The sequence below is a fragment of the Homo sapiens genome, chromosome 6, assembly GCF_000001405.40.
Source record: "Homo sapiens chromosome 6, GRCh38.p14 Primary Assembly".
NCBI classification, from domain to species: Eukaryota; Metazoa; Chordata; class Mammalia; order Primates; family Hominidae; genus Homo; species Homo sapiens.
The window spans coordinates 97,537,095-97,563,681 of NC_000006.12; the positions used below are offsets into that span (position 1 = coordinate 97,537,095).

At 36.7% G+C, this 26,587-nt stretch overlaps 2 long non-coding RNA genes across 2 annotated transcripts in view; both read left to right on the top strand.

The window, feature by feature from the left end:
• Positions 1-26,587, top strand: part of LOC101927314 (uncharacterized) — a 403,332-nt gene that overhangs the window by 231,509 nt on the left and 145,236 nt on the right. The window lies entirely within an intron of this gene.
• Positions 3,163-15,212, top strand: LOC107986627 (uncharacterized). The gene is made up of 4 exons (XR_001744269.1): positions 3,163-3,233; positions 3,638-3,753; positions 9,197-9,301; positions 15,142-15,212. It is a non-coding gene; the product is annotated as an uncharacterized LOC107986627 (long non-coding RNA).

Sequence of the window (26,587 nt, forward strand, 5' to 3'; positions counted from 1 at the left end):
CAGCAACAATTCAAATTAACATTTGACAACAGAGATATGAACACGTCCCTGTTTGATTCTATATTATGTTAAACATTCTTTGCACTTTCTTTTTAGATTCTTGTGCTAGCCTCTATTTGGTCCAAAAATGTTTTAGCTTAAATTTTCTAGAGAATTATTTTGTTTTTTGGAATCCTGAATAATTTTTTTGAGTTAATCAGGTGAATTACTGGTTGGCACTAGTCCTGTGTAGGACTGTGGACACCATTAGATCAAAGTCACCCTTCAATTTAATCCCTAAAGGTTTTCCCCATAATGTTGGCACTGACTTACATAATAAAGTGTCAATTGTCCTTTAAAGTATTATTATGCTCTGTTTCACATTTGAAAATTACTACTTCATCTTGGTAGTGAAATGATAGTGTAAATACAGCCAATGATGCTAAGAGATTCTTGACAGAAACCTTGATGGAAAGACAGGGAACACTTTATGTGAATGTATTCAGAGTCCTGGGTGAAGGTATTATCTGATAACATTTTATAAAAGATTTGGCCTTTTCTAGGTTTTAGAGCCATTAAAATCTAGGGGCAAAATTTTACTGCCTGAATTTAGCAGGAGCAAGTGTTTGTTCTGGTTATTAAGATACATTATTACAGGTGCTCAGAGTCCTACCTTGTAAGGTACAGTGGTTGAGGCAACACATTTTCCTTAAGCATTTGCCATATTCTAGTGTCGTACAGGGTGCTCTAGGGAACCAAGAGAAGCAGAAATGGACAAGGCCATGGGCATCTGCCAGGGAAAGGCAAACACTGGACTCTCTTCATTTAACCGCTTATTAACCATTTTTCCCCCGCTACAAGGAAGAGTGAATTTGAAGCATTGAACTGTAAGATACACCTCAAACAATTATGGATGCTAATGTTCTGGTTCTCAAAGAGCTGAGAATATGGTTATCAATGAAAGTAAAATTAGACCTTTTTTTTCTTTTTGTTACTATCTAAAAGAGCTCTCATGGTTGGAATGTCACCTTTAATGCTTTCCTGTGTCTATTATGCATTTATTGAGCGTCTTTAATTACAATCTTGAAATTGTCAAGTAAATAAAGACTGCCAATATTAATTTTTAAATGTATCACTGTTTCTAAACCTGTGAGGATTTTATTTTCCCTCTTGTTTAGAAAACAAAGACAATAGCTCATTGTTTTAATTTGGTTTTATTTTTCCATTTTAACTCTGATCCATTGTTGTAAATACAAAGGAAATTAATTTCATAAAAAATTCACTCGTGCTGAAAAATGAACAGAAATACATTGAAAATGTCCTTTTGTTTTATTTTTAATCTAGATTTGTGTTCTTGATAGTTAATGCTTGCATTTTCAAGTTGAAAATGTTTACATAATTTGTCTAAAAAATACATTTTTCCCTTCATTACTCATAGTCATAATCACTACCATAAGCTATTTGAAAAATCATCAATCTGCATTCAGCTCTGCGCTGTGAACTTAAACTGTTTATTTACTGACTTGTATAGTAATACTGTCTTTTCTCCCAGAAGAAAACTGTCTCATACTATAGAAATATAACGAATTAACCACCCTACAAACCCCCTGTGAGGTAGAATATTTTATCTGACCCATCCCTTGTTTCTATTCTCTGCTTTTAGTAGAGATGGCCAGTTTTCACTAGAAGGCTGAGCAAACTCTCCAATAGTTGGCAGGTTCAGTTCTCAGTTCCAAGCTGTGGCTATCCTTCTGCTCCATTTTTGACAGTCTCACTCAGGGGACGTCAGTTAAAACCTGTAATCTGCCAAGGCCATTAAGTCATGTGGGAAAAATATATTTTTGTTCTTGGAATAGCAAAGACAAACAAACAAACACTTCTAAAACTTCTAGCTTTATACCAGCCTGGGCACTATGATAGATATTTAACTGACTGTGGCTAAGGTTTGTGCTCTTAGGGCGGCACCTTGTGCCAGGATAAATGGCAAATGAGTTCTTTGTGAGTCCTTCTTATAAATATACTCAAAATCTGACAGCTGTATATATAATTCTAGTTGTAAGAAGAGAGAGAGCATGACATGGGAAAGAACTGTCAATTCAGTCAAGGTACTCAGGTTCCTGGTAGTCAGTAAGTTGGGTAGTCTTGGGGTAAATCATTGTCCTCTCTGAGGCTTCACTTCTTCATCTATCAAATGAGAAATTCTAACTAGTTAAACTCTAAGGTTTTTGTTGTTGATGTTGTTATGTTTTAAATATTAAGTGTTAAAACTTTTAGAATGGAGAAAAAAACACAATTCTAAGGGTTAAGGGTCATATACATTAGATTGTGTATGACTTTTTGTATTTTTGTTCATAAAAAGCTAATGTTTTATTATCTTTTTTATTTGTAGGTGAATTGTGCTTTAGTAGCATATCTTTAGGTTTTCTATTTCTCTTTCATAGTATTCTCTACTTCTTTGGAACCCAAAGAAGTGTTTTGAGCTATACTGATTCCTGTATTGAAGAAGGTGTAACCCCCTCTCCATCTTTATCCAATACCAATATAGGACAGTAACAACTAGGTAGAAGCATTAGGGTTAACTTCCTGGATATAGTGCCAGAATTGACTAGGATAAACATACAGTTTGTCATCCAAACTGACACACTTTAAAAAGTGAAACAGAACACTCATTAATTATGACCAGCACTGTTAATCAGGACTATTAAGGGAGAATAAAAGGGCTGCAAAGGGGATGATTTTAATGTAATCCATATAGCTTTGCATGATACCCTCCTTTATTTATTCTGTAGCTTTCTTGAGGCAGAGAGAGAAATGATTTAGATTTGCATAAGGGTAAATTTTTGATTCAAATAGGCAAATCGTAGGTTTTGCTTTTCATATGTAAAATGGAATAAATTGCCGAATAGGAAGGCTCAAATTCAGCCAGAAATTCTGAAAAAGACAATTATACATAATCCAACAAACCCACTGAAATATGCAGTTCAGTACCTCATCTTGCTTACCTCTCCATGAAAGGTCAAAAGTGCCTCCTACTGTGATATGTCTGAAATCCCTGAAAGATTGATTAAATTTCTATATAATATGGAATTGCTGAATCTAGTGAACCATAACTTATGTAATTTGTATTATACTTTATCAGTCACCTTTTAAAAAGTGTTTAACAGTGAAACTTTCCCTTGCAGGCGATGGAAACCTGAGAAATACTTGCTTTCTTTATGATAACCTTAGCAGTTTGTTTGACTCATTAAGTCAAGGTTGGTGTGGATTTCTTAAAGGGATTCAAATGTAAAAACTGACTTAATTTTGGCATTTAAATTTTAGAATGAAAAGTCAGAGAATAAAAAAGATGGATCTTATATTGCATGAGAAACATAATCTTTTCATATATTATGAAAGAGTGGCCAAAGAGGTGTTTGAAAACTTCACTTACTCTTACTTTAAAGGGTATCATATTGATGTTACATTATAGAAACATGTCTACTTTTGGAAGATTCTATTGTATCCTGAGTTCCTCTTATATAAGACCTATATCTGCAGCAGGACAGTTAGAAAAGTCAGAGAATAAGAGTTTAGAGGTGAAGTATATTACAGTTTTGACAATGCGGATAATTTTCTCTTTCTCCTCCTCTATTCCTCACCCCTGTCACCTTCCCCATAGTTCCTAATTCTCAACTCATTTCAAAGTTTGACGGAAAGTGATCAAGAAGCATAAGATCTTCAGATAAGTCTAGAAGATAGAGCACCCTATATGTCCACTGAAGGATCTTGGGCAAGGTAGGATGATCCTTATCTCATCAAGCAGCAGAATTAAAAGCTATAGAGCTTCTCCCAGAGACTCCTGGGATGAAAATCTCCAGTAAAAGATACTCCTGATAACACTAGGGGAAAAGAACAGTAACACTGATCACTGGGAATAAAATCAGATTCTTTAACATGGTCTTCAAAGTCCTGCTTTATCTACCTCCCCCACCCCTGCCCTCCCCTCACATAATTTTCTATTTCCCCCTTCTTTACCACTCTAGATGTCTTTATATTTCTTGTGTTTGCCATGCTTCCTTTAGCCCCAAGCCTTTTAAAGATTCTAAATCTAAATCCTTTGTATCTGATTTCCATACCTCCAACACCTTTCCTCTGGTTAAATTCAATTTATTCCTCAGATTTCAGTTCAAATATCCCTTTCCCAAGAAAGCCTTCTCTGACTAGGTCAACTCTATCTTCTATGTTTGTATTAGTTTTGTATTGCTGCAAAACCAATGATCATAAATTTAGCTGCTTAGGAGAACACAAGTTTATTATCTCATAGTTTCCTTGGGTTAAGAGCCTGCACATGGCTTAGCTAGATTTTCTGCTCAGATCTTACAAGGCTGAAATCAGGGTTTGGCTTGGCTGCTTTTCTCATTTAGGCTCAGGGCTCTTTTCCATGCTCACTGATAGTTGGTAGAATTAAATTCCCTGAGGTTGTATGACTACAACCTGGTCCCCTGTTTCTTGCTGGCTGTTGGCCAGTGACTGTTCTCAGCAGCTAGAGGCTGTGTATAGCTCTTTGCCACATGACACCATAGGGAGACCATAAGATGGCTGTTAACTTTTTTCCAGGCCAGCAGGAGTGCATCTTTCTGATGCTCCACCTTCTTTTATATTTTACTTTTACATTTATTGTTAATTTAAATTTTTTAATTTTTAATTTTCCTGGGTATATAGTAGGTATATATATTTATGGGTTACATGAAATAATTTGATACTGACATACAATGTCTTTAGGATAAAGCCATTTTAACTGGGATGAGATGATATCCCATTGTAGTTTTGATCTGCATTTCTCTGATGATTGATTATACTGAGAACCTTCTCAAATGCCTTTTTTTTTTTTGCCATTTGTATGTCCTCTTTTGAGAAATATCTACTCAGATCTGTTGCCAATTTTTAACTGGATTATTAGATTTTTTCCTATAGAATTGGTTGAGCTCCTTATATATTTGGGTTATGAATCCCTTGTCAGATGGGAAGTTTGCAAATACTTTCCCCCATTCTGTGGGTTTCTGTTTTGATTCCTTTGCTATGCAGAAGCTTTTTTTTTTTTTTCTTTTTTTTGAAATGGAGTCTCACTCTGTCACCCAGGCTGGAGTGCAGTGGCGCGATCTTGGCTCACTGCAACCTCTGCCTCCCGGGTTCAAGCGATTCTCCTGCCTCAGCCTCCTGAGTAGCCGGGACTACAGGCACAAGACACCACAACCGGCTAATTTTTGTATTTTTAGTAGAGGCGGAGTTTCACCATGTTGGTCAGGATGGTCTTGATCTCCTGACCTCAAGATCCACCCGCCTTGGCCTCCCAAAGTGCTTGGATTACAGGCGTAAGCTTTTTAACGTGATGTGATCCCGTTTGTTCATTTTGCTTTGGTTGCCTGTGCTTGTGTGTCATTACTCAAAAAAGTCTTTGCCCACTCCAATGTCCTGCAGAATTTCCCCAATGTTTTCTTTTAGTAGTTTCATAGTTTGAGGTCCTAAATTTAAGTTTTTAATATTTTTTGATTTCACTTTTTTTGTATATGGTGAGAGATAATGGTGTAGTCTTCTTATTTTGCAAAGGGATATCCAGTTTTCCCAGCACCATTTATGGAAAAGACTGTCCTTTCTCTAATGTATATTCTTGCCACCTTTGTTGAAAATGAGTTCACTGTAGACGTATGAATTATTTCTGGTTTCTCTATTCTGTTCCATTGGTCTATGTGTCTGTTTTTACGCCAGTTTCATGAGATTTTTGGTTACTATAGCTCTGTAATATAATTTGAAGTCAGTTTTGTTCTTTTTGCTTAGGATAGCTTTAAGTATTCTGGATCTTGCATGCTTCCATATAAATTTTAGGATTGTTTTTTCTATTTCTGTGAAGAATGTCATTGATATTTTGATAGGGATTGGATGAAATATGCAGATTTTTGGGTCATATGGACATTTTCACAGTATTGATTTTCTAGTCCATGGACAAGGAATATCTTTCCACTTTTTGCATCTTTTTCAATTTCTTGCATCCATGTTTTATAGCTTTCATTGCAGAGATCTTTCTCTTCTTTGGTTAGTTTCTAGGTATTTAATTTTATTAGTAGCTATTATAAATAGGATTACTATCTTGATTTCTTTTTCAAGTTGCTTTTGGCATATACAAATGCTATTGATTTTTGTATCCTGCAACTTTACTATATTTGTTTATCTTTTCTAACAGTTTTTGGTGGAGTTAGATTTTTTTCGAGTGTAAGATCCTGTAATCTGCAAATAAGGATAGTTTGACTTCTTCCTTTCCAATTTGGAGGCCATTAATATCTTTCTCTTGTCTGATTGTTCTTGCTAGAACTTCCAGTACTATATTGAATAACAGTAGTGCAAGTGGGCATCCTTGCTGTGTTCCAGATCTTAGAGGGAAGGCTTTCAGTTTTTTCCCATTCAGTATGATACTAGCTGTGGGTCTGTCACATATGGCTTTTATTATGTTGAGGTATGTTCCATCTATACCCAGTTTTTTGAGGGTTTTTATTATGAAGAGATATTAAATTTTATAAAATGCTCTTTTAGTATCAATTGAAATGATTATATTGTTTTTGTCTTTCATTCTGTTGATATGATGAATCACACTGTTGAAGTTGCATGTGTTGAACTATCCCTGCATTCCTGAGATAAATCCCACTTGGTCATGATGAATGATCTTTTTAATGTATTGTTGAATTCAGTTTGCTAGTATTTTGTTGAGAATTTTGGCATCAGTGTTCACTGGAGATATTGACCTATAGTTTTCTTTCGCTTGCGTCTTTGTCTGGTTTTGGCATCAGTGTAATAGTGGCCTCATAGAATGAGTTTGGAAGTATTTTTTCCTCCTCTATTTTCCGTATAGTTTGAGCAGAATTGATATTAGTTCTTTAAATGTTTGACAGAATTCAGCAGTGAAACTATCTGGTCCTGGGCTTTCCTTGCTGGGAGACTTTTTATTATGGCTTTGATCTCGTTACTGGTTATTGGTTTGCTCAGGTTTTGCATTTCTTCATGGGTCAATCTTGGTAGGTTATATGTGCCTAGGAATTTGCCCACTTCTCCCAGATTTTTCAACTTATTGGCATATATTTGCTCATAGTGGCCACTAATGATCCTTTGAATTTCTGCAGTATCCATTACAATGTGTTCTTTTTTATCTCTGATTTTATTTATTTGGATCTTCCCTTTTTTTTCTTAGTCAGCTGAAGTTTTGTCAATTTTGTTTAACTTTTCAAAACACAACTTTTTCTCATTAATCGTTTTGTATTGTTTTCTTCATTTCAAATTTGTCTATGCTCTGATCTTTAGTATTTCTTTTCTTCTACTAATTTTGGGTTTGTTTTGCTTTTCTGGTTATTTGAGATTCATTGTTAAAGTGGTTATTGGAAGTTTTTCTTCTTTTTTGATGTAGGCAGTTAGAGATATAAGCTTCCCTCTTAGTACTTCTTTTGCTGTATCCCATAGGTTTTGGTATGTTGTGTTTCCATTATCATTTGTTTCAAGAAACTTTTCAATTTCCTTTGAAATTTCTTCATTGACTCACTGGTCATTCAGAAGCATACTGTTTGATTTCCACATGTTGTTATAGTTTCCACAATTCCTCTTGTTATTGATTTCTAATTTTATTCCTTTGTGGTCAAAGAAGATGCTTGATATTATTTCATTGTTTTGAATGTTTTTAGACTTATTTTGTGATCTAACATATGGTATATCCTTGAGAATGATCCATGTGCTAAGGAAAAGAGAGTGTATTCTGAAGCCATTGGATAAAATGTTCTGTAAATATCTATTTGGTCCATTTGATCTATAGTGCAGATTAAGTTTTATGTTTGTCTATTTTGTGCCTGGAAGATCTGTCCAATGCTGAAAATGGGATGTTAAAGTCTCCAGCTACTGTTTTATTGGGATCTATCTCTCTTTTTAGCTCTAATCATAATTTCTTTATACGTGTGTGTGCTCCAGTGTTGGGTGTATACATATTTAAAATTATTGTATTCTCTTTCTGAATTGATCCCTTTGTCATTATATAGTGTCCTTTGTTTTGAAATCTATTTTGTCTGATGTAAATATAGCTACTCCTGCTTTCTTTGGTTTTCATTAGCATGGGATTTTTTTTTCATCCCTTTATTTCTAGTCTATGTGTTTCTTTGTAGGTGAAGTGTGTTTCTTGTAAGCAAGATCTCATGACCACTGCCACTATAGGCCCACAGGGAGTGCTGCCAGGCTACCACTGATGTTACCTTAAGGCCCAAGGGCTCTTCAGTCAGCTTGGTGAATGCTGCCTGTCCTGGGATTCATCACTGAGGGCATAGGTTTAATGGGCTTACTGTTCCACATGGCTGGGGAAGCCTCACAATCATGGCAGAAGGTGAAGGAGGAGCAACAGCACATCTTACATGGCGGCAGGCAAGAGAGTATGTTCAGGGGACCTGCCCTTCATAAAACCATCAGATCTCATGAGACTTACTCACTATCATGAGAACAGCATGGGAAAAACCTGTCATCATGATTCAATTACCTCCCACCAGGTCCCTCCCAGGATACATGGGGACTGTGAGAGCTATTATACAATTCAAGATGAAATTTGGGTGGGGACATAGCCAAACCATATCACTTCTGGTGCAGATTGTGTCTAGAAATGTCATCCAGGAGTTATGGCCTGAAAAGAGTGCCTAATGACTCTGACTGGTGCCCTATCCTGCTGTGGCTAAGCTGGCATGTAAGATGCAAGGCAAAGTCCTCCCCACTCTCCCCTCTCCTCTCCTCTCCTCAAGTGGAAGATGGGGTCTCTCTGAAAGCTGTGAGCTATGCAGCCTCAGGTTAGGGGAGGTATGTCACCAGCACTCTGTTAGCTACCCTGGCTAGTGTTTCAGTAGGTTGCTGCTCTCACAGTCCACAGTCGTGGAGCCCAGTTCAACAGGCACTAGGACTCTCCTAGAAAGTGCAGTCCTTGTGGCCTAGACTGCTCTTCAAGTTTATTTAGAGCCCCAGTGCACTTTAGCCTGTGCAGTCATGATGCTTGCAGGAACTGAAGTTCAAGCTACTGGGATGGGCAATTCCCCTTTGGCCAAGGCCGGGCTAAATGTTCTCTCTTGCATGGATGTTAGCTGAGTTCTTTCTAGTTTTGCTTTCTGCTATAACAGGGCAACATTGAGTTTAATGCAATGTCTCAGAATTGCCGTGCTCTCCCTTTCCCAAGTGCTCAGATTTTTCTCTCTGTACCACACTGTCACTGCTGGGGATGAGAGAGGATGTGGCGTCGGAGATTCAAGACTTTTTCCTACCTCTTCAGTGCCTCTTTCAGGTGAGTGCTCACCAGATTTTTGATTCTTATGAAGGTGCTTTTTTGTGTTTAGATAGTTGTTAAATTGGTGTTTGTGGGTGGGTGAGGGTGACGATTGTTGGAGCCTTTTATTCTCCCATCTTGTTCCATCTCCCTACTTCACCGTCTTTGAAAAGCTCCTCTGATTGGGTGAGGTCCATCCAGGTACACCTAGGATAATCTCTCTTTTGATGAACCCAAAGCCAACTGATGAGTAACCTAATCATAGGAGAGATACCTTATTTCATTTACACGTGTTGCCCATGCTCAAGGATAGGGGATTATACAGGATATATACACCAGGGGGTAGAAATCTTGGGGACCATTGTGGACCCTGGCCCATGTCAATGCTCTCTTATGCCGTATGCCTCCTCTCTTTTACGACAAAATACAGTTCAATTGCATATTCATTTCTGTGATTCATTGATTAACATCAACCTTCCCAACTGGCATATGAGCTTAAGGAGAAAAAGGGAATACTGTTTTCAGGGATTGTCTTTGCTCACTAGCATATCTTTGGACATTAGCACAATGTTCAGGATAGTATAGTGGCTCAGCAAATATTTAAATAGATTAGGATGGCCGGGCACAGTGGCTCAAGCTTGTAATGCCAGCACTTTGTGAGGCCGAGGCGGGCAGATCATGAGGTCAAGAGATAGAGACCATCCTGGCTAACACGGTGAAACCCCATCTCTACTAAAAATACAAAAAATTACCCGGTTGTGGTGCTGGGTGCCTGTAGTCCCAGCTACTCGGGAGGCTGAGGCAGGAAAATGGCGTGAACCCAGGAGGCAGAGCTTGCAGTGAGCCGAGATGGCACCACTGCACTCCAGCCTGGGCGACAGAGACTCCGTCTCAAAAAAAAAAAAAAAAATAGATTAGGGACTTTTACTGATTGAATAAATACATGACTGACTGAAAACTCTATCGTGACTATATTGCACTAGGTGGACGTTCTTAGATCTAATCATTTTCTAACATATATGCATTGAAAGATGGAAGCTGAATGCCAGACAATAGGCCTATATCCTGACGTCACTGGCAGGACTGACACTCAAAGGAGAAATGGTTCCTTAGCTCACGAGATTGAGTGGAGTCTATTTATATTAAAACTTTCTTGTCATTATGTATTGAGGTTTTCTGTTAGAATAACTTTCACAGCCTGAGTGTTTACCAGTCCTCATACAGAGGGACCACAGTGAAACTACATCTTCTAGCCAGGCTACATCAGCTGGGGTGGTGGGTTCAGCTCATTCTTCTTACTCAGTCCATGCTGCTATAACAAAGTACCATAGAATGGGAGGCTTATAAACAACAGAAATTTATTTCTCACAGTTCTAGAGGATGAAAGTCCAAGATCAGAGTACCAGCATGGTTGGGTTCTGAGGAAGGCCTTCTTTGCAGACTGCCATCTTCTTCTTGTATCTTCACGTGGTATAAAGAGGGCAAGAGGGTTCTTTGGGGTCGCTTTCTTAAGGCACCAATTCCAATCATGAAGACTCCACCCTCATGACCTAATTAACTCCCAAACGTCCCACATCCTAATACTATCACACTGGAATTTGGATTTCAACATGTATATTTGGGAGCGACATAAACATTCATTCTCTTGCACTGTGGTAGACTCAGGTATTGATAAAACCAAGAGGATTCCAGAGAGGGTAGCATAAAGCTCACAGAGAATGAATGTGCATGTGTGTATGTGTGTTTGAATTTTGTGTTTATGAAACTAAGTACTGGTGATTGTATGGGAAATGGGAAGAAGTCTCCTTAGATTGAAGCTTGCTCTCTCTTGTCCTTAATTTTCTGTAAATGCAATAGCTCAATCAACATGACCCAGGTATCCTATAAGACTATAGAAATATAGCCATAAATTCTAAGTAGTTATGGTAAAACTTTGGGATTCTTCACATATAGAAGTAGGGCGGGGTATGTCTTTCTGAAGTGGGATGGCAGATCATGTCTTTAGTCTTGAGTGGTAAATTCTTTTCTTACTACTATTTGTACTAGTCAGGGTCCTCCAGAGAAACAGAGCCAAAAGGACAAAGAGGTGTGTGTACATATATATATGTATTTATATATAATATAAATGAATTATAAATGAAATATTAATGAATATATAAATATTCATGAATTTTGTATATAATATTAAGTATATGAATTAATAAATAAATAAAAATATGTATTTAAGGGACTCAGCTTATGTGATTGTGGAGGTGACTCAGAAGAGTTGGAATTAAGCTGATTTTGTAGAAGTCTGAAAGCAGTCTGCTATCTAATTTCCTTTCGTTCTTAGGTCAGCCTTTAGTTCCATTCAAGCCTTCAGCTGATTAGATGAGGCCTACTCACTTATGGATGGTAATCCACTTTATTTAAAGTCACCTGATTTAAGTATAAATCTCATCCAAAAACACCCTCACAGAAACATCCAGAATACTATTTGACCAAATATCTGGGCACTGTGACCCAGCCAAGTAAACTTAAAATTAACCATCACAGTGCCCCTATGATTTAGTCTTATATTTACTATTAAAGTCTCATATTTGCATGAGACTCAGATATTATTTGTTCAGTTTAAAAATTCTGTCCCTCAGAGGATTTATTGACGCAGAGATTTCTTTGGTAGTTGTTGATCTCTCAGAACATGTTCTTTTCTTGATGAAAACACATTGGAAGAATTGGATTTATAATATGATGAAAACATTATTTTGGCTATTAAACTGATCTTAAATTAGCCCCTCATCCTAAACTTAATTCATGCCTACAAGAGGTCATAAGATTAACTGTATTTGGAGTATGTGAAGTTAAATTTGGCAAACATATTTTTGAGCACCTGCCACATACCAGGCCCAGTGTTAGGCATGGAGAGGACAAAGGTGAATAAACATAATTTCCACCATTGATAGAGTTTATAGTTTAGTGTGTGGAACAGTTATCAAAACACTAAAACATGGTGAGTCCAGGTGTGTTGAAGCAGGTGTGGGGGGTGGTGCTGGGGAAGCGATGTGAAGGATACAGTTAATGAGAATGAGCAGCATGGAATTTAGCCCTAATGTGGGGAAGGTAACAGACTACTGACAGAAGATAAGAAGCCTGTTATCTATAGTCTTGTGTTTTGCCAGTAGGGGTACAGAGACCTAGGGCTTTAGATTTTTGTGATGATATTCTTTCTCTAGACCACTACCCACCTAAAATTTTGAAATTTTGATGGTTTTGAAAAGATATGCACCTCTTGGTAGCCACAAGAGAATCTGGGCCTGAAACATGATATAGCATGTAACCCTAGGTAATCTGTTAACTTTAATCTTCATTGTGAACCTCGTAATTCTTGATATACCTTGTCATTGGCTCATGACATATTTATTGTTGTGATGCATCTGCCAATGAATGTACGCTGCTGATAAAGACATACCTGAAACTGGGTAATTTTTAGAGAAAAAGAGGTTTAATGGACTCACAGTTCCACGTAGCTGGGGAGCCTCACAATCATGGCAGAAGTCGAAAGGCACGTCTTAATGGCAACAGGCAAAGAGAGAATGAGGGCCAAGCAAAAGGGACTTTCCCATATAAAACCATCAGATCTCATGAGATTTATTCACTACCAGGAGAACAGTGTGGGGAAATCGCCCCCATGATTCAATTATCTCCCACCACGTCCCTCCCACAACACATGGGAATTATGGGAGCTACAACTCAAGATGAGATTTGGGCGGGGACATAGACAAACCATATCAAATACCATATCTAGGGACCCACATTGTCCCCATGGAGACCTGTGTGAAGTGATCTGTCATATAAGAGTTCTCTGTGCTGGGCACAGTGACTCATGCCTGTAATTCCAGCACTTTAGGAGGCCGAGGTGGGCGGATCACAAGGTCAGGAGACTGAGACAATCCTGGCTAACACAGTGCTGAAACTCTGTCTCTATTAAAAATACAAAAAATTAGCTGGGCGTGGTGGCAGGCACCTGTAGTCCCAGCTACTCAGGAGGCTGAGGGAGAATGGCGTGAACCTGGGAGGTGGACCTTGCAGTGAGCGGAGATCGCACCACTGCACTCCAGCCTGGGTGACAGAGCGAGACTCTGTCTCAAAAAAAAAAAAAAAAAAAAAAAAAAAAAAAGGGACCTAGTTCTAGAGGAGTTTACTTGACAGGGATGCTAATAGGTACTCAGGCATGGGGTCAGGAAGCACTAGATGGGGAGAGGTGTGGTGGAAACACACACTTAAGCATTAGAAATAGAAGTTAGTGCAAAGACCTTGGGACACACAATAACTCAGGAGGTGAATTACTGGTACTGTGGCCCAAAAAGGAGCAAAATCAACAGTAGGCTGACTTAGCGCTGAGCTTTTCAGGTACCTTTTGACTTCTCAGCCATTGGACTTACCCTGAATTTCTTGCCTATCCTCACTAGTTGGATTTACTTTTTCCTGCTTCTGCAGAATGCATTGTTTTCCAGCCATCCTGCGAGAAGCTCTCTTTTTGTCAATAAATAATAAATGGCTTCAAAATTTGGAGATGATAATTGTGGCAAATAGAGTAAGTTTTTCACAGCTTTAAATTTGAATAAATTCAAGTCTGTAGAAAAATGTTGGAAGAAAAATAAAATAAATAAACTTGCAGTCTTTGTCTAGATTCACTAATTATTAAGATTTCACCATATTTGCTATTATCTATCTACTTACCTGGCTATGTATATTTATTTATATGTATATGTATAAATATAGTTTGCTGAAAAACTTGAAAGTTGGTTGCAGATTTTTCACCCCTAAATGCTTCAGCCTCTATCTTGTAAATATACAAAGACATTCTCCTACCTAACTGCGTTACCACTACCATTCACAAGAAATTTTGTATTGATGCAATAGAACTATCTGATATATATTCTATATTCAAATTTCCCAATTGCTTCAATAATGTCCTTTATAGATTTTTTATAGTGACTTAAAACATCCAATTTCATGAGGTATTTAGAAATGAAACTAGGAATATTAGATTTCTAAGGTATTTGGGAAAAGTGGTGTAAGTTGAATACGTTTGTGCAGTTTCCTCAAGAAAATTATTGTTTTCATCTTTCCACTGATGGGAAAGCACAACTATCAATCAAGTATATGTCAGTGTCTGGATGCATAGTATTAGCTTTTACTTAATGGAGTTAGAGTGAATTTTCACCTTTAGTTTAGAGTGAGTCTTCACTCTAAATAAGATGCTGGTTTTCATATTTAAATTGCATTCGTACTTGATCTTTTGGTCAAAGCAGCAAGAGACCAGTTATAAAAATCTATTCCTCTTAATTTAAAGGCAGCGATTAAAGGAGATTCAGAGCTTTGAAACTGTTGTGAGTATTCTACTTAGGAAAATAAACACTAATTGAAAGGGCTAATCAAAAGCTCATCATCCTGAAGGGCACTTGGATGGTTCACAAGTATGCAGTTTAGGTAGACAGGTGCTCTTATGAGGACCTCATCATTCTAAGTAAAGGGACTTTACGCCATGCGTTAGATGAGTCCCCTTAATGAGTGACTATTTATGATGATAAAATACATCTGCTGCTAACTTCCTTTATAATTTTTCAAATAATTTCAGAAATCATGAATGAAGGAAAAAATGAATGAGGAATGATTCAAACTCAATCAGTAACAAAAACTTTGCTTACATAACATTTCCTTAAAGAAAATCTTCCTTTTCCTAATCTGTAGTCTTTGTGCTTTTAATTATGTCACAAAATCTCTACAAATATTTGGGCAAACAAGTAATTATTTCCAATAAAGTTGTGCTCTTTAAAAACACATGAGTAATTAAACTCTGTTCCCCTTTACTCTAGTTATACAAGAAATTTTTCTGTCCTGGTAAAGATGACTTCACATGCCAAACCATTACCTCAGAGACTAAACCAAATTTCAGAGATGAAAAAACATTTAAAGATGCTTTTACAGATAATTCTGGATGATTCAGACTATTTCCTAAACAGTCAAAGTTCCTGTAAGTGGAATTTTCTCCTTACCAGACTATAAATCAATATGTGTTGGCTATAATGATGAATTAGTGACAAAGAAATTCTAACAACTATACCTGATGAAAAGGTCACTATTAGGTTGATAGTATGGTTGGTGGGGGCGGTTAGTGATTATCTAGGAAGCTTGTTTTTGAAACTGCTGCCATCAGTGGAACTTTGTTGGTCATTACAAGTGCACATGTGTACAATGGGCACGTGAGCAAGGCTGAGATGCATTGATCTATATAGTCCAAACAATCTGATAAGTATGTTTGAAAAGTACTATGAAAAAAATCATCAGTGTACATGTAAATGTTGTAAAATTTGGTCGCAGGAAGAATTCTGTTTCCTTCACTGAGTGCTAAATCATCCCATTTATATAGCTGCTTCACTTTTGCCCTCTATTTTGGCACTCCCATTTGCCTTTTTGCTATCATCATATTGAACTCAATAATATATGCAACTTTGTTACTTTTGTCAAATTCTAAAACATATGGGCCATTATATTTTTTCCAAAGCTGTTGATACATTTTAATTCTTAATAGGAAAGGGGATCTACGATTGGGAATTCACATTCAAATCCCATTATAGTAAACTTTAAAAAGGTATAATCATTCTCTTCCATTTAATCTTACTCTTTGTAATGAGTTCCAAGTTTGGTATAAAATAGTTGCCACTGGTTTATATATCCTGTGGAAACACATCTCATAAGATTTTCTGACCAATAGCCAATACTTCTATATAGCTGCAGGGAGGCATACACCTTCTAGATCTATGACACTAGCATGTAATTCTCTTAGACCATTTGTACTGCTATAACAAAATACCATAAACTCTGTAGCTTATAAACAAAATAGAAATTTCTTTCTCACAGTTTTAGAAGCTGGAAAGTCCAAGATTAAGGCATTGGCACATTTGGTATTTGGTGAGAACCAACTTCCAGGTCCACAGATGGCACCCTCTAGCTGTGTCCTCATATGGTGGAAGAGCTGAGGGGTCTTTCTTGGACTTTTTTATAAAGATACTAATCTCATTAATGAGGGCTCTGTTCTCATGATATAATCACCTCCCAAAGGCCTCACATCCAAATACCATTACCTTGGAGGTTAGGATTTCAACATACGAATTTTAGGGAGACAGAGACTCTCAAACAATAGCAACATTGTTCATTCTATGCCCTTTGTCTTCATGCCTCCTAGTGAACACATTGAGTGGAAATGGAATTTATTAGAGGCTGTAGGATTCAGTTTTTTCCTGAAGGCTCATCTTCAGAAATCCAAATGAGACACCAGGGTTATTTGAATAGAATTTTAGAAAGACTTTCTATAAACGCCATGAGACTATAAAATCATCAACTAAGTTGAATTATATGAACATGTTATATAGACAAAAGAATATTGCCCAGTTGGCACACATTTGAGAGTGAAAGGAGGAACTATTAATAATTAAAATAACAGGTGCACACTGGTACTGTTCAGGCAAAGCAGAATATAGGGTCACCCAGTAATAATAGTACTTACTGTATCGAGTTCTTATAATGAGTCAATGACAAAATATACGTAAATTAGTTAGCTGTCAATGGGAAACATTCAATAAGTGGTAGCTGCTTATGTTGGTATTTTTCATGCCTCCTTCTTTGGCTAACGAAGCAAGAAAATCAGTGAGTTATTTATTCTCTTTATCTTTTAACAGATGATGCTGGGTCTAGTAATGAGGTAATGAGTGTTTAGTAATATAATCATATGGAAGCCTCTTTGAGTGGGAAAGGAGCTTTATGTCTATTTAGTTATGTTTATTATAGTGATTCTCCACCAAAAGAAGGAAAAATCTGTTTTTCAAATTTAAAAAATTGAGACAGCCCATCCTGCCTCTTCCACACACCTACCTCCTTAGCTTGATAGTTACTTCCACAGGAAGCCACTCTTACTGAGTGGACTGTGTCCTAGCTCTTAGGCTTATTGGAGCAGACAAAAATTAAGAATAACTAATTTATTAGATTAATATTTCCTTAAAGGCAGTGATTTTTAAAATTCTGATTCCCTATGCTTATTACAGTACCAGGTACATAGAAGATACTCAATACGTATTTGTTGAATTAGTGAAATATGAATAAATGGATCTCAGCAGCTAAAAATCAACCTTATGAGGTGATGGCCTCTAGTGTAACCCTGCAACCAAAACTCCGCCATATTCAGGAACTTTCCTATGCTTCATCTGGGGTCATAGAATCAAGGAATTCAGGGATTTCATAGCTGCAGTTGGTGCCAAGGAGCTATTTGCTATTTAGATTGGTTCCCTCTGTTAATTGATTGTAATAAGTAAAAACTCAATAAAGCTAATCTGCCAATTATCTCAATAAGGCTTCCTGCTGCACACTTTACAGATTCAAAACACAGAAGTGTCGTGTATGGATTTAAGCGCTATATGAGATATCAACATTGCTTATTAGTATTCAGTATCTTTGTTGAAGTATTATTGAGAACTGTATAAAATATATTTGTTTTATGTATGAAATAGAAAATATCAATTTTATATATCACTTCCATTGTATAAAAGTGACACTAAAGGCCTCATATTAACCTAGTTGTCCTGGCACTTGCTGTCTGCTCAAAGCTGGGCTTGGGAGACTGTGTGATGCTTAATTCACTTTCTATCATCCCTCATGTTGTTTCAAGTTGATGCAGGTTAGTTAAAATGGACTTTGCATGTGGCCTTGGTTAATAGGATTAATTGCTTTTATATTACAGAAAATAGAAAATATGTTTTGCATTATTTGCAGCTTTTCCCCCTTCAGGAATTGCATGTGGTTTTAGTCCGTACAGATCAGTGCACAGCCAGTGTTGTAGCTTTTATTTCGATTTTCTCTTGCAAATCTTTGAGTTAGCAGGCTCCGTGTTGGAGGGTAGAGAATGTTATTACAAAGCACCATCCTTACACTATAGTCAAGGCCTGAGGGGTGAGGGATCTCCTCCTCATCCTACCACGTCTGCTTTCATCCCAAAAGATTGGCCCAGCTATCGAGTGTAAGGGCTCTAAATTGCTGCCACTGAAAGGTGGAGGTTGTTAAAAGGCTATGCCTGGGCTGTTCAAAAATTTCATGGGTGGGAACCTGTGTCACTTGGCCCACAAAACTAGATGGTAGGGCAGTTATGGGCATGATGAATTGTGGCTTTGGTCACTTCTAACCTTGGGCTGAATCAGAGACTCATAGGATGTTGGTAACTGCCTCCCTGAGCCAAAGAAACAAGAAAGACCCTCTGCGTTCACGGTCTTTTCTTTCTTTCCTCTCCTTAGTCTCAAATATAAAACGTACCTGCCTTGTTAGATCTTAGAAAAAAGACAAGCTGGAAACCCACATTTTATTACTTATACAATAAATGATGATAGATATTAACACAAAATGTTCTCAAACTTCAGCTTTTCATGCTAAGATAATGAATTAAAACAAATGGAAAAGAAATGTTTCTACTATTTAAAAATTACAGTTTTCCTGTTTATGCTGTGAAAATGGTACATAATAGGACAACACAAATGATTGAAATGCCATAAGCATATCCACAGAAAGGATTACAGGGGATGCTGAAACAGCAATCATACTATGGAACTGATTAAATTTAACATGACTTATAATAATATGAGGTAGCAAGTCTGTGCTCAGTAAAAGCACCCCTCTTCTGAGGGGTTGAGTGGGTATTCATAGTTGACTGATCAAGGTCTGTGCTTTTTTTTTAATGTAGTCAGTCCATCTTTCCCCAAGTGAAGGGAGTTCAGGGCTATCTCATAGGGTTGGCATAATACACTGCACTCATTTCACAGTGTAAAATTTTTGTTAGGCAGAAACAGGAATATTATTACATATCACCAAACTAATCATCCACAATAGTTGATATTGTTAAAGACAGTTTAGTGTACAAGCCACCAGAGATGATAGAAAAGCAAATACTGCATATTTGATACGTTATTAATCCCTTTTTTTGACTTAGGAAAGAAAACAAAGAAATACCTCTAAGGCTGTGTGGGTTCTAATTTCTGCTTCGGCTTCCTGCATACATTGACATGAGCCATTTTACTTTCCTCCATTTCATTTCCCACATCCATAAGATTAGGAAGCAATGCTGGATAGTTGCAAAGCAAATATAAAAGATTGCATTCATATTAAATCATCTTTTAGAAGTGTGTGAAAAAGGTTAATACTAATTTAAACATTTGATCAATAAAAAAATGATAGATGCTATTTTCCATTGTTTGTGCATTCTTACAAGTAAAGGGCAATTACATGCCAAGAATGATAGAAAAAATATGAATGTATTTGATATATTCCTGGTTTGAGTAGTGAGATTTCTTAATAAGAAAAGTTATTAGAATGCTTTATGAAGTTTATGAACTTGTAATTTGCTCCCATAATTAGATGAGATTCTGTTAGACCCATCCTTCTACAATTTCATAATTGAGAGGCTTTTGCCTACAACAATGTTGAATCAAATATACGTAGGCTTAATGGACTATTTTAAAGATTGGCCATAGCTTATGCAAAATAAGAACAATCCTTAGAGCATTTTCAAGGCTTCCTGCCACAAATTGCTTTTGCAATTTTCATTTCATTTTTTAACTATGAAGTTAAGGCATCTTTAGTTGTTTTTATTTTAAATTGCTCCTGCTGTTGTTCTCCTCCTAGGAAGTAGTCACTATTTTTTTTCCTTTCTGCTGGCCATTGTAATATTTCTTACATGAATAAAAACAAAGTGGTTTATTTAAAAAAGAGTTTTAAAATCCTCCTTTGCAGTTCCAAGAAAAATGCCTTACCATTATCAAATTGAAAAAGGGATAATGTAGCACAGTTACAAGTAAGTTTTATCAATGAGTGTTTTCCGGAAACTCTTTCTGCTGCATCCTTTAACATTGGCAGTTGAAAAGTTAATTCTGAAAACAAAGTACATGTGGAAAGGCAGGTGATTGATCAAGGCAAAAATTAAAATTGGGTACTGGTGGCACAATCTCTTACTTTTTGGCCCACAGGAATCCTGATAAAAATTAATTGTTTCTGTGATTCTTAGACCTTCATCAATCAGATGTAAATTACACCATGCATGATTGGCTGCCTTTCCATTCTGAGTTCCCCATAGAGAGCTGTTGGCTGCCAACTGCTACAGAGACACGGTGGAGTAGCAGCCTGTCTTTGGCCACTCTGGGACCACAAACTGAGAGATGGAGCTGACTTGCAACCACAATAGTGTGCCCAAGGATGCAGCCAGCACCTTTCTAGAGTAATTTCCATTTAGGGCAAAAGAGACATTTTTCAAACCAGGTTTAATATTAGGCAAATCTTCTGATTTTTAAACATGGTTTCAGACCAATCTAAGAGGATGCAAGAGCACAGAGCACCTAGCAGATAGTGGGAATAAACATAAGATTAATCTCAAGATTGATTAGGGAAAAACAAATATAGATTCCCTCAAAAAAAGGGTTTCCCAACATACTTTATGCACCTTTAGAGGCAGTTGTAATAATAATAGCTGAAACTTAATTAAAGTAAAATAAAAGACCCCAGTCAGGAGACCTTGTGACCACATTTGTAGCTGAGTACTGAATTTAGCCCCAAGAAATATGAGATCTACTTTTCATCTCACAACAATTTACCATTTCAAAAACCTCATATTAAGGAGGTGATTATAAGCTACAGAGTTGTCATATTTCATATGTAAAGAAAGAAGGGTTTGAGAATGTAGAAGGGCATCTTTTCAAAGAAACTTCACAATTAAATTTTAAACATGTATTGGTAAATGAGGTTATTGGAATGACCTGGGATACATGAAATGTAGTTTTTTTTTTTTAAATCTTAAAGCATGAACTCAGATCTTCATGGACATGTCTTTAGTGTAAATTACTTGTGTTTGTGAATTGTATTTTAAAAACGCTGATAAATGCTATTTGAAAAAGAAGGTGAATTGGCTCTTAGGGTTACAGTCAAGGACCAAATTGCCTGAGTTCAAATTTTGATTCAGCTCCTATGTGACTTTGGCAAATTACATAATCTCTCCAGTCCTTGGTTTCTTATCTATAAAATGGGCATAATAATACTTCATATTCTAACAAATTGTGTGGAATAAATGAGGTAATTCACTTTTAACAGTGCCTGATGTTTAGCAAATATTAAATACATATTAATTATCCTTATTATTTTTTATGTGTTATCTGTAACTCATTTAAACCATTATCAAAAAGGAAAGCTTTCCTTCTAAGAAATCATTTCTTTAATTGAAACATCAACAACTTCTTAGGAATTTCGGTCAGGTTTCCAGGAGCTCATGTAACTATATAAATTTCTGCTCCTGTAGCTTTCACCTGCTTGCTATTGCAGGGTTCCCCTGTAATTATATTGTCAAGTCTCTTTACTGGGTAATAATGTTTATTTCACAATGTTTGAGGATTATAGAAATAAGTAATTAAATGAGATGACATTTGTATAAGTGCTGAGAAGGGACTGGCTCACAGTAGGTCCTAAATAAATATTAGCTTTTTAGATACACACTTGCCTTCTGTATGAGGAAGGGAGCAAATGTTTAATGTTCCAAACAAAACATTATTTTTCACTATGACATTGAAGCTTGAGACACTCCTATGACCTATACATTAATTTTCTTTTAACTTTTCTTTTTGCCCCACAACAATTCTCTCCTAAGCACTCTGGGGCCATCACTTGACGGTACATCAGTGGTGGTATCTGCCACGTCTGAAGACAGTGGGACCTTAGAGTGTGTCAGTGAAGACAATTGCTCCCAAAGAAAGACAGTAAATTATATAAAGTGCCTGCTGGCTACTTAGGAAATCTTGCTATTATTGACTGGCTGTGAAGAAGTAAGCACCCATGTTGAGAAACCCCACTTGGCAAGGGATTGCAGGTGACCTCTGAGGGTAGCCTCTTGTTGACAACTGGCAAAAACCGAAGCTCTCAGTCCTAACAACTGCAAGGAACTTAATGCTGCCAAAAACTATATAATTAGGGAAGTGGATCCATTCTAGATTCCAGATGAGACTCCAGGTTGGCCAACATCCTGTGAGACTAAACAGAGGACCAAGTTAACTCGTGCCTGGACTTCTGACCCACAAAAATTGTGATATAATAATTTCTCTTGTCTGCAGCCTCTAACTTTGTGGTAATTTATTACATAGCAATATATTACTAATAAAGATTTTTTTCCCTTCTTATTTAATCTTAAGAAAGAAATCTTGTATTCTTGGAAAGTGGATTTTAATTTAAACACCAATGACTTCTTGGATTGGTATTTACCTAGGCATTCTGGAGGCATGTTCAACTGTAAAAACCATACTTTCTACTCTAATATCTATACCTAAAATGATGAGTGTAAATCCTTGCTCTGCCACTGTTTGGTAAATGTATTCTCTCTTAGCCTCAGTTTCATTGGCTGTAAAATGGAAATAATGCCAATTAGTTTTTAGTATTGTTGTAGAGATTGGCTAAAATATTCCATGGTGAATATATACCACGTTTTCTTTATCCACTCGTTGATTGATGGGCATTTGGGCTGGCTCCATATTTTTGAATTGCAAGTTGTGCTGCTATAAACATGTGTGTGAAAGTATCTTTTTTGTATAATGACTTCTTTTTCTTTGGGTGGATACCTGGTAGTGGGATTGCTGGATCAAACAGCAGATCTACTTCTAGTTCTTTGAGGACTAAGAGTTTGTTGTAGATGGCATTTATTACCATAAGCTATCTCACTTCTATGCCAGTTTTGCTAAGGGTTTTAATCATAAAGGGATGCTAGATTTTGTTAAATACTTTTTCTACATCTATTGAGATGATCATGTGATTTTTGTTTTTAATTCTGTTTATGTTATGTGGTGTATCACATTTATTGATTTGTGTATGTTAAACCATCCTTGCATCCCTGATATGTAACCCACTTCATCATGGTGGATTATCTTTTTGATATGATGTTGGATTCAGTTAGCTAGTGTTTTGTTAAGGATTTTTGCCTCTATATTCATCAGGGATATGTTCTGTAGTTTTCTTTTTTTTTGTTATGTTCTTTCCTGGTTTTGGTATTAGGGTGATACTGGCTTCATAGAATTATTTATGGAGGATTCTCTTTTACTCTATCTTGTGCAATAGTGTCAATAGGATTCGTACCAATTCTTTGAATGTCTAATAGAATTCAGCTGTGAATCCGTCTGGTCCTGGACTTTTTATTTCTTGGCAATTTTAAAATTACCATTTCAATCTCACTGCTTGTTCTTAGGCTGTTCAGAGATTCTATGTCTTTCTCGTTTAATTTAGGAGGGTTGTATATTTCCAGGAATTTATCCATTTCCTCTAGGTTTTCTGGTTTATGTGCATAAAGGTGTTCCTAGTAGCCTTGAATGATCTTTTGCATTTCTGTGGTATCAGTTGTAATATCTCCTGATATTACATTCTAATTGAGCTTTCTAATTTCTCAATTACTTTCTAATTGAGCTTATTTGGATGTTCTCTCTTCTTTTCTTGGTTAATCTCACTAACGGTCTATTAATTTTATTTATCATTTCAAAGAACCAGCTTTTTGTTTCATTTAGCATTTGTATTTTTTTGTTTCAATTTCATTTAGTTCTGTTCTGATCTTCATTATTTCTTTTCTTCTGACTGGTTTGGATTATTCTTGTTTCTCCAGTTCCATGAGATGTGACCTTAGATTGTCTATTTGTGCTCTTTCAGACTTTTTGATGTAGGCATTTAATGCTTTGAACTTTCCTAGTGCCACTTTTCCTGTGTCCCAGAGGTTTTGATAGGTTGTGTCACTGTTATCATTTGGTTCAAAGAAGTTTTAAATTTCCATCTTGATTTCATTGTTGACTCAATGATCATCCAGGAGCAGTTTATTTAATTTCCATGTATTTGCATGGTTTTGTGGGTTCCTTTTGGAGTTGATCCTTCTGGTTTCTTTTTTGATTTCCAATTGTATTTCACTGTAGTCTGAGAGAGTACTTGATATAATTTTGATATTCTTAAATTTACTGAGGCTTGTTTTATGGCCTATCATATGGCCTGTCTTGGAGAATGTTCCATGTGCTGGTGAATAGAATGTATATTCTGCAGTTGTTGGGTAGAATGTTCTGTAAATATCTGTTAAAACCATTTGTTTTAGGGTATAGTTTAAGTCCATTGTGTCTTTGTTGACTTTCTGTCTTGATTACCTGTCTAGTGTTGTCAGTGGAGTATTAAAGCCCCCTACTATTATTGTGTTGCTATCTCATTTCTTAGGTCTAGTAGTAATTGTTTTATACATTGTTAGGTGCATATTTATTTAGAACTGTAATATTTTCCTATGGACTAGTCCTTTTATCATTATATAATGTCCCTCTTTGTCTTTTTTAACTGCTGTTGCTTTAAAGTTTGTTTTGTCTGATACAAGAATAGCGACTCCTGCTTGCTTTTGGTGTCCATTTGCATGTAATATCTTTTTCCACTCTTTTACCTTAAGTTTATTTGAGTCCTTATGTGTTACGTGAGTCTCCTGAGGAAAGCAGAAACTTAGTTCGTGAATTATTATTCATTCTGTCGTTCTGTATCTTTTAAGTGGAGCATTTATGCCATTTACATTCAATGTTATTATTGAGATATGAGGTACTATTCTATTCATTTGCTTTTTGTTGCCTGAATTCCTTTTTTTTTTCAATGTGTCATTGGTATATGGGTTCTGTGAGATTTATGCTTTAAGGAGGTTCTGTTTTGGTGTATTTTGAGGATTGTTTCAAGATTTAGAGCTCCTTTTAGCAGTTTTTGTAGTGTTGGCTTGGGGCTTCGTAGGGACACATTCTCTCAACATTTGTTTGTCTGGAAAAGAATGTATCTTTTTTTCATTTATGAAGCTTAGTTTCACTGGATACAAAATTTTTGGCTGATAATTGCTTTGTTTAAGGAGGCTAAAATAGGACCGCAATCCCTTCTAGCTTGTAGGGTTTCTGCTGAGAAGTCTGCTGTTAATTTGATAGGTTTTCCTTTATAGGTTACACAGTGCTTTTGCCTCACAGCTCTTAATATTTTTTTCCTTTGTCTTGACTGTAGATAACCTGATGACTTTGTGCCTAGACGATGATCTTTTTGTGATGAATTTCCCAAGTGTTCTTTGAGCTTCTTGTATTCAGATGTCTAGATCTCTAGCAAGGCTAGGGAAGTTTTCCTTGTTTGTTTTTTCAAATATGTTTTCCAAACTTTTACATTTCTTTTCTTCCTTGGGAACACCAATTATTCTTAGGTTTGGACATTTAACATAGTCCCAAACTTCTTGGAGGTTTTGTTCATTAAATTTTTTTTTCTTTGTCCTTGACAGATTGGGTTAATTTGAAAGCCTTTTCTTCGAACTCTGAAGTTCTTTCTTCGCTTCAATTCTATTGCTGAGACTTTCCAGTGCATTTTGCATTTCTTTAAGTGTGTCCTTGATTTCCAGAAGTTGTGATTGTTTTTCATTTATGCTGTGTATTTCACTGAATAATTTTCCTTTCATATCCCGTATCACGTTTTTTGTTTCTTTAAGTTGGACTTCACCTTTCTCTGGTGCCTTCCTGATTAGCTTAATAATTGACCTTCTGAATTCTTTTTCTGGCAATTCTCAGATTTCTTTTTGGTTTGGATCTGTTGCTGGTGAGCTGGTATGCTCTTTTGGGAGTGTTAAAGAACCTCATTTTGTAGTATTACTAAAATTGTTTGCCTGGTTCCTTCTCATTTGGGTAGACTTTGTCAGAGGGAAGATCATAGATTCAAGGGCTGCTGTTCAGGTTCTTTTGTCCCATGGGGTGCTCCCTTGATATGGTGTTCCACCCCCTTTCCCCTAGGAATGGGACTTCCTGAGAGCTGAACTGTAGTGACTGGTTTTACTCTTTTGGGTCTAGCCACCCAGTGGAGCTACTGGGCTCTGAGCTGGTATTGGGGAGTGTCTGCAAAGAGTCCTGTGATGTGATCCATCTTCAGATCTTGCAGCCATGGATACCAGCACCTGCCCCGTTGGAGGTAGCAGGGGAGTTAAGTGGACTCTGTGAGGGTCTTTGGTTGTTTTTTTTGTTTAGAGAGCTGATTTTGTGTTGGTTGGCCTGCAGCCAGGAGGTGGTGCTTTAAAGAGTGTATCCTATGGGGAGGTCCTATAGGGAGGATGTAAACTTTCCCTAGGGACACCTGGTTAAGTATTCAGGTTTCTCAGGTGGTGGGCAGGACTATAGAGCTCCCAAGAGATTATGACCTTTGTCTTTGCCTACCAGGACTGGTAGAGAAAGACCACCAGGT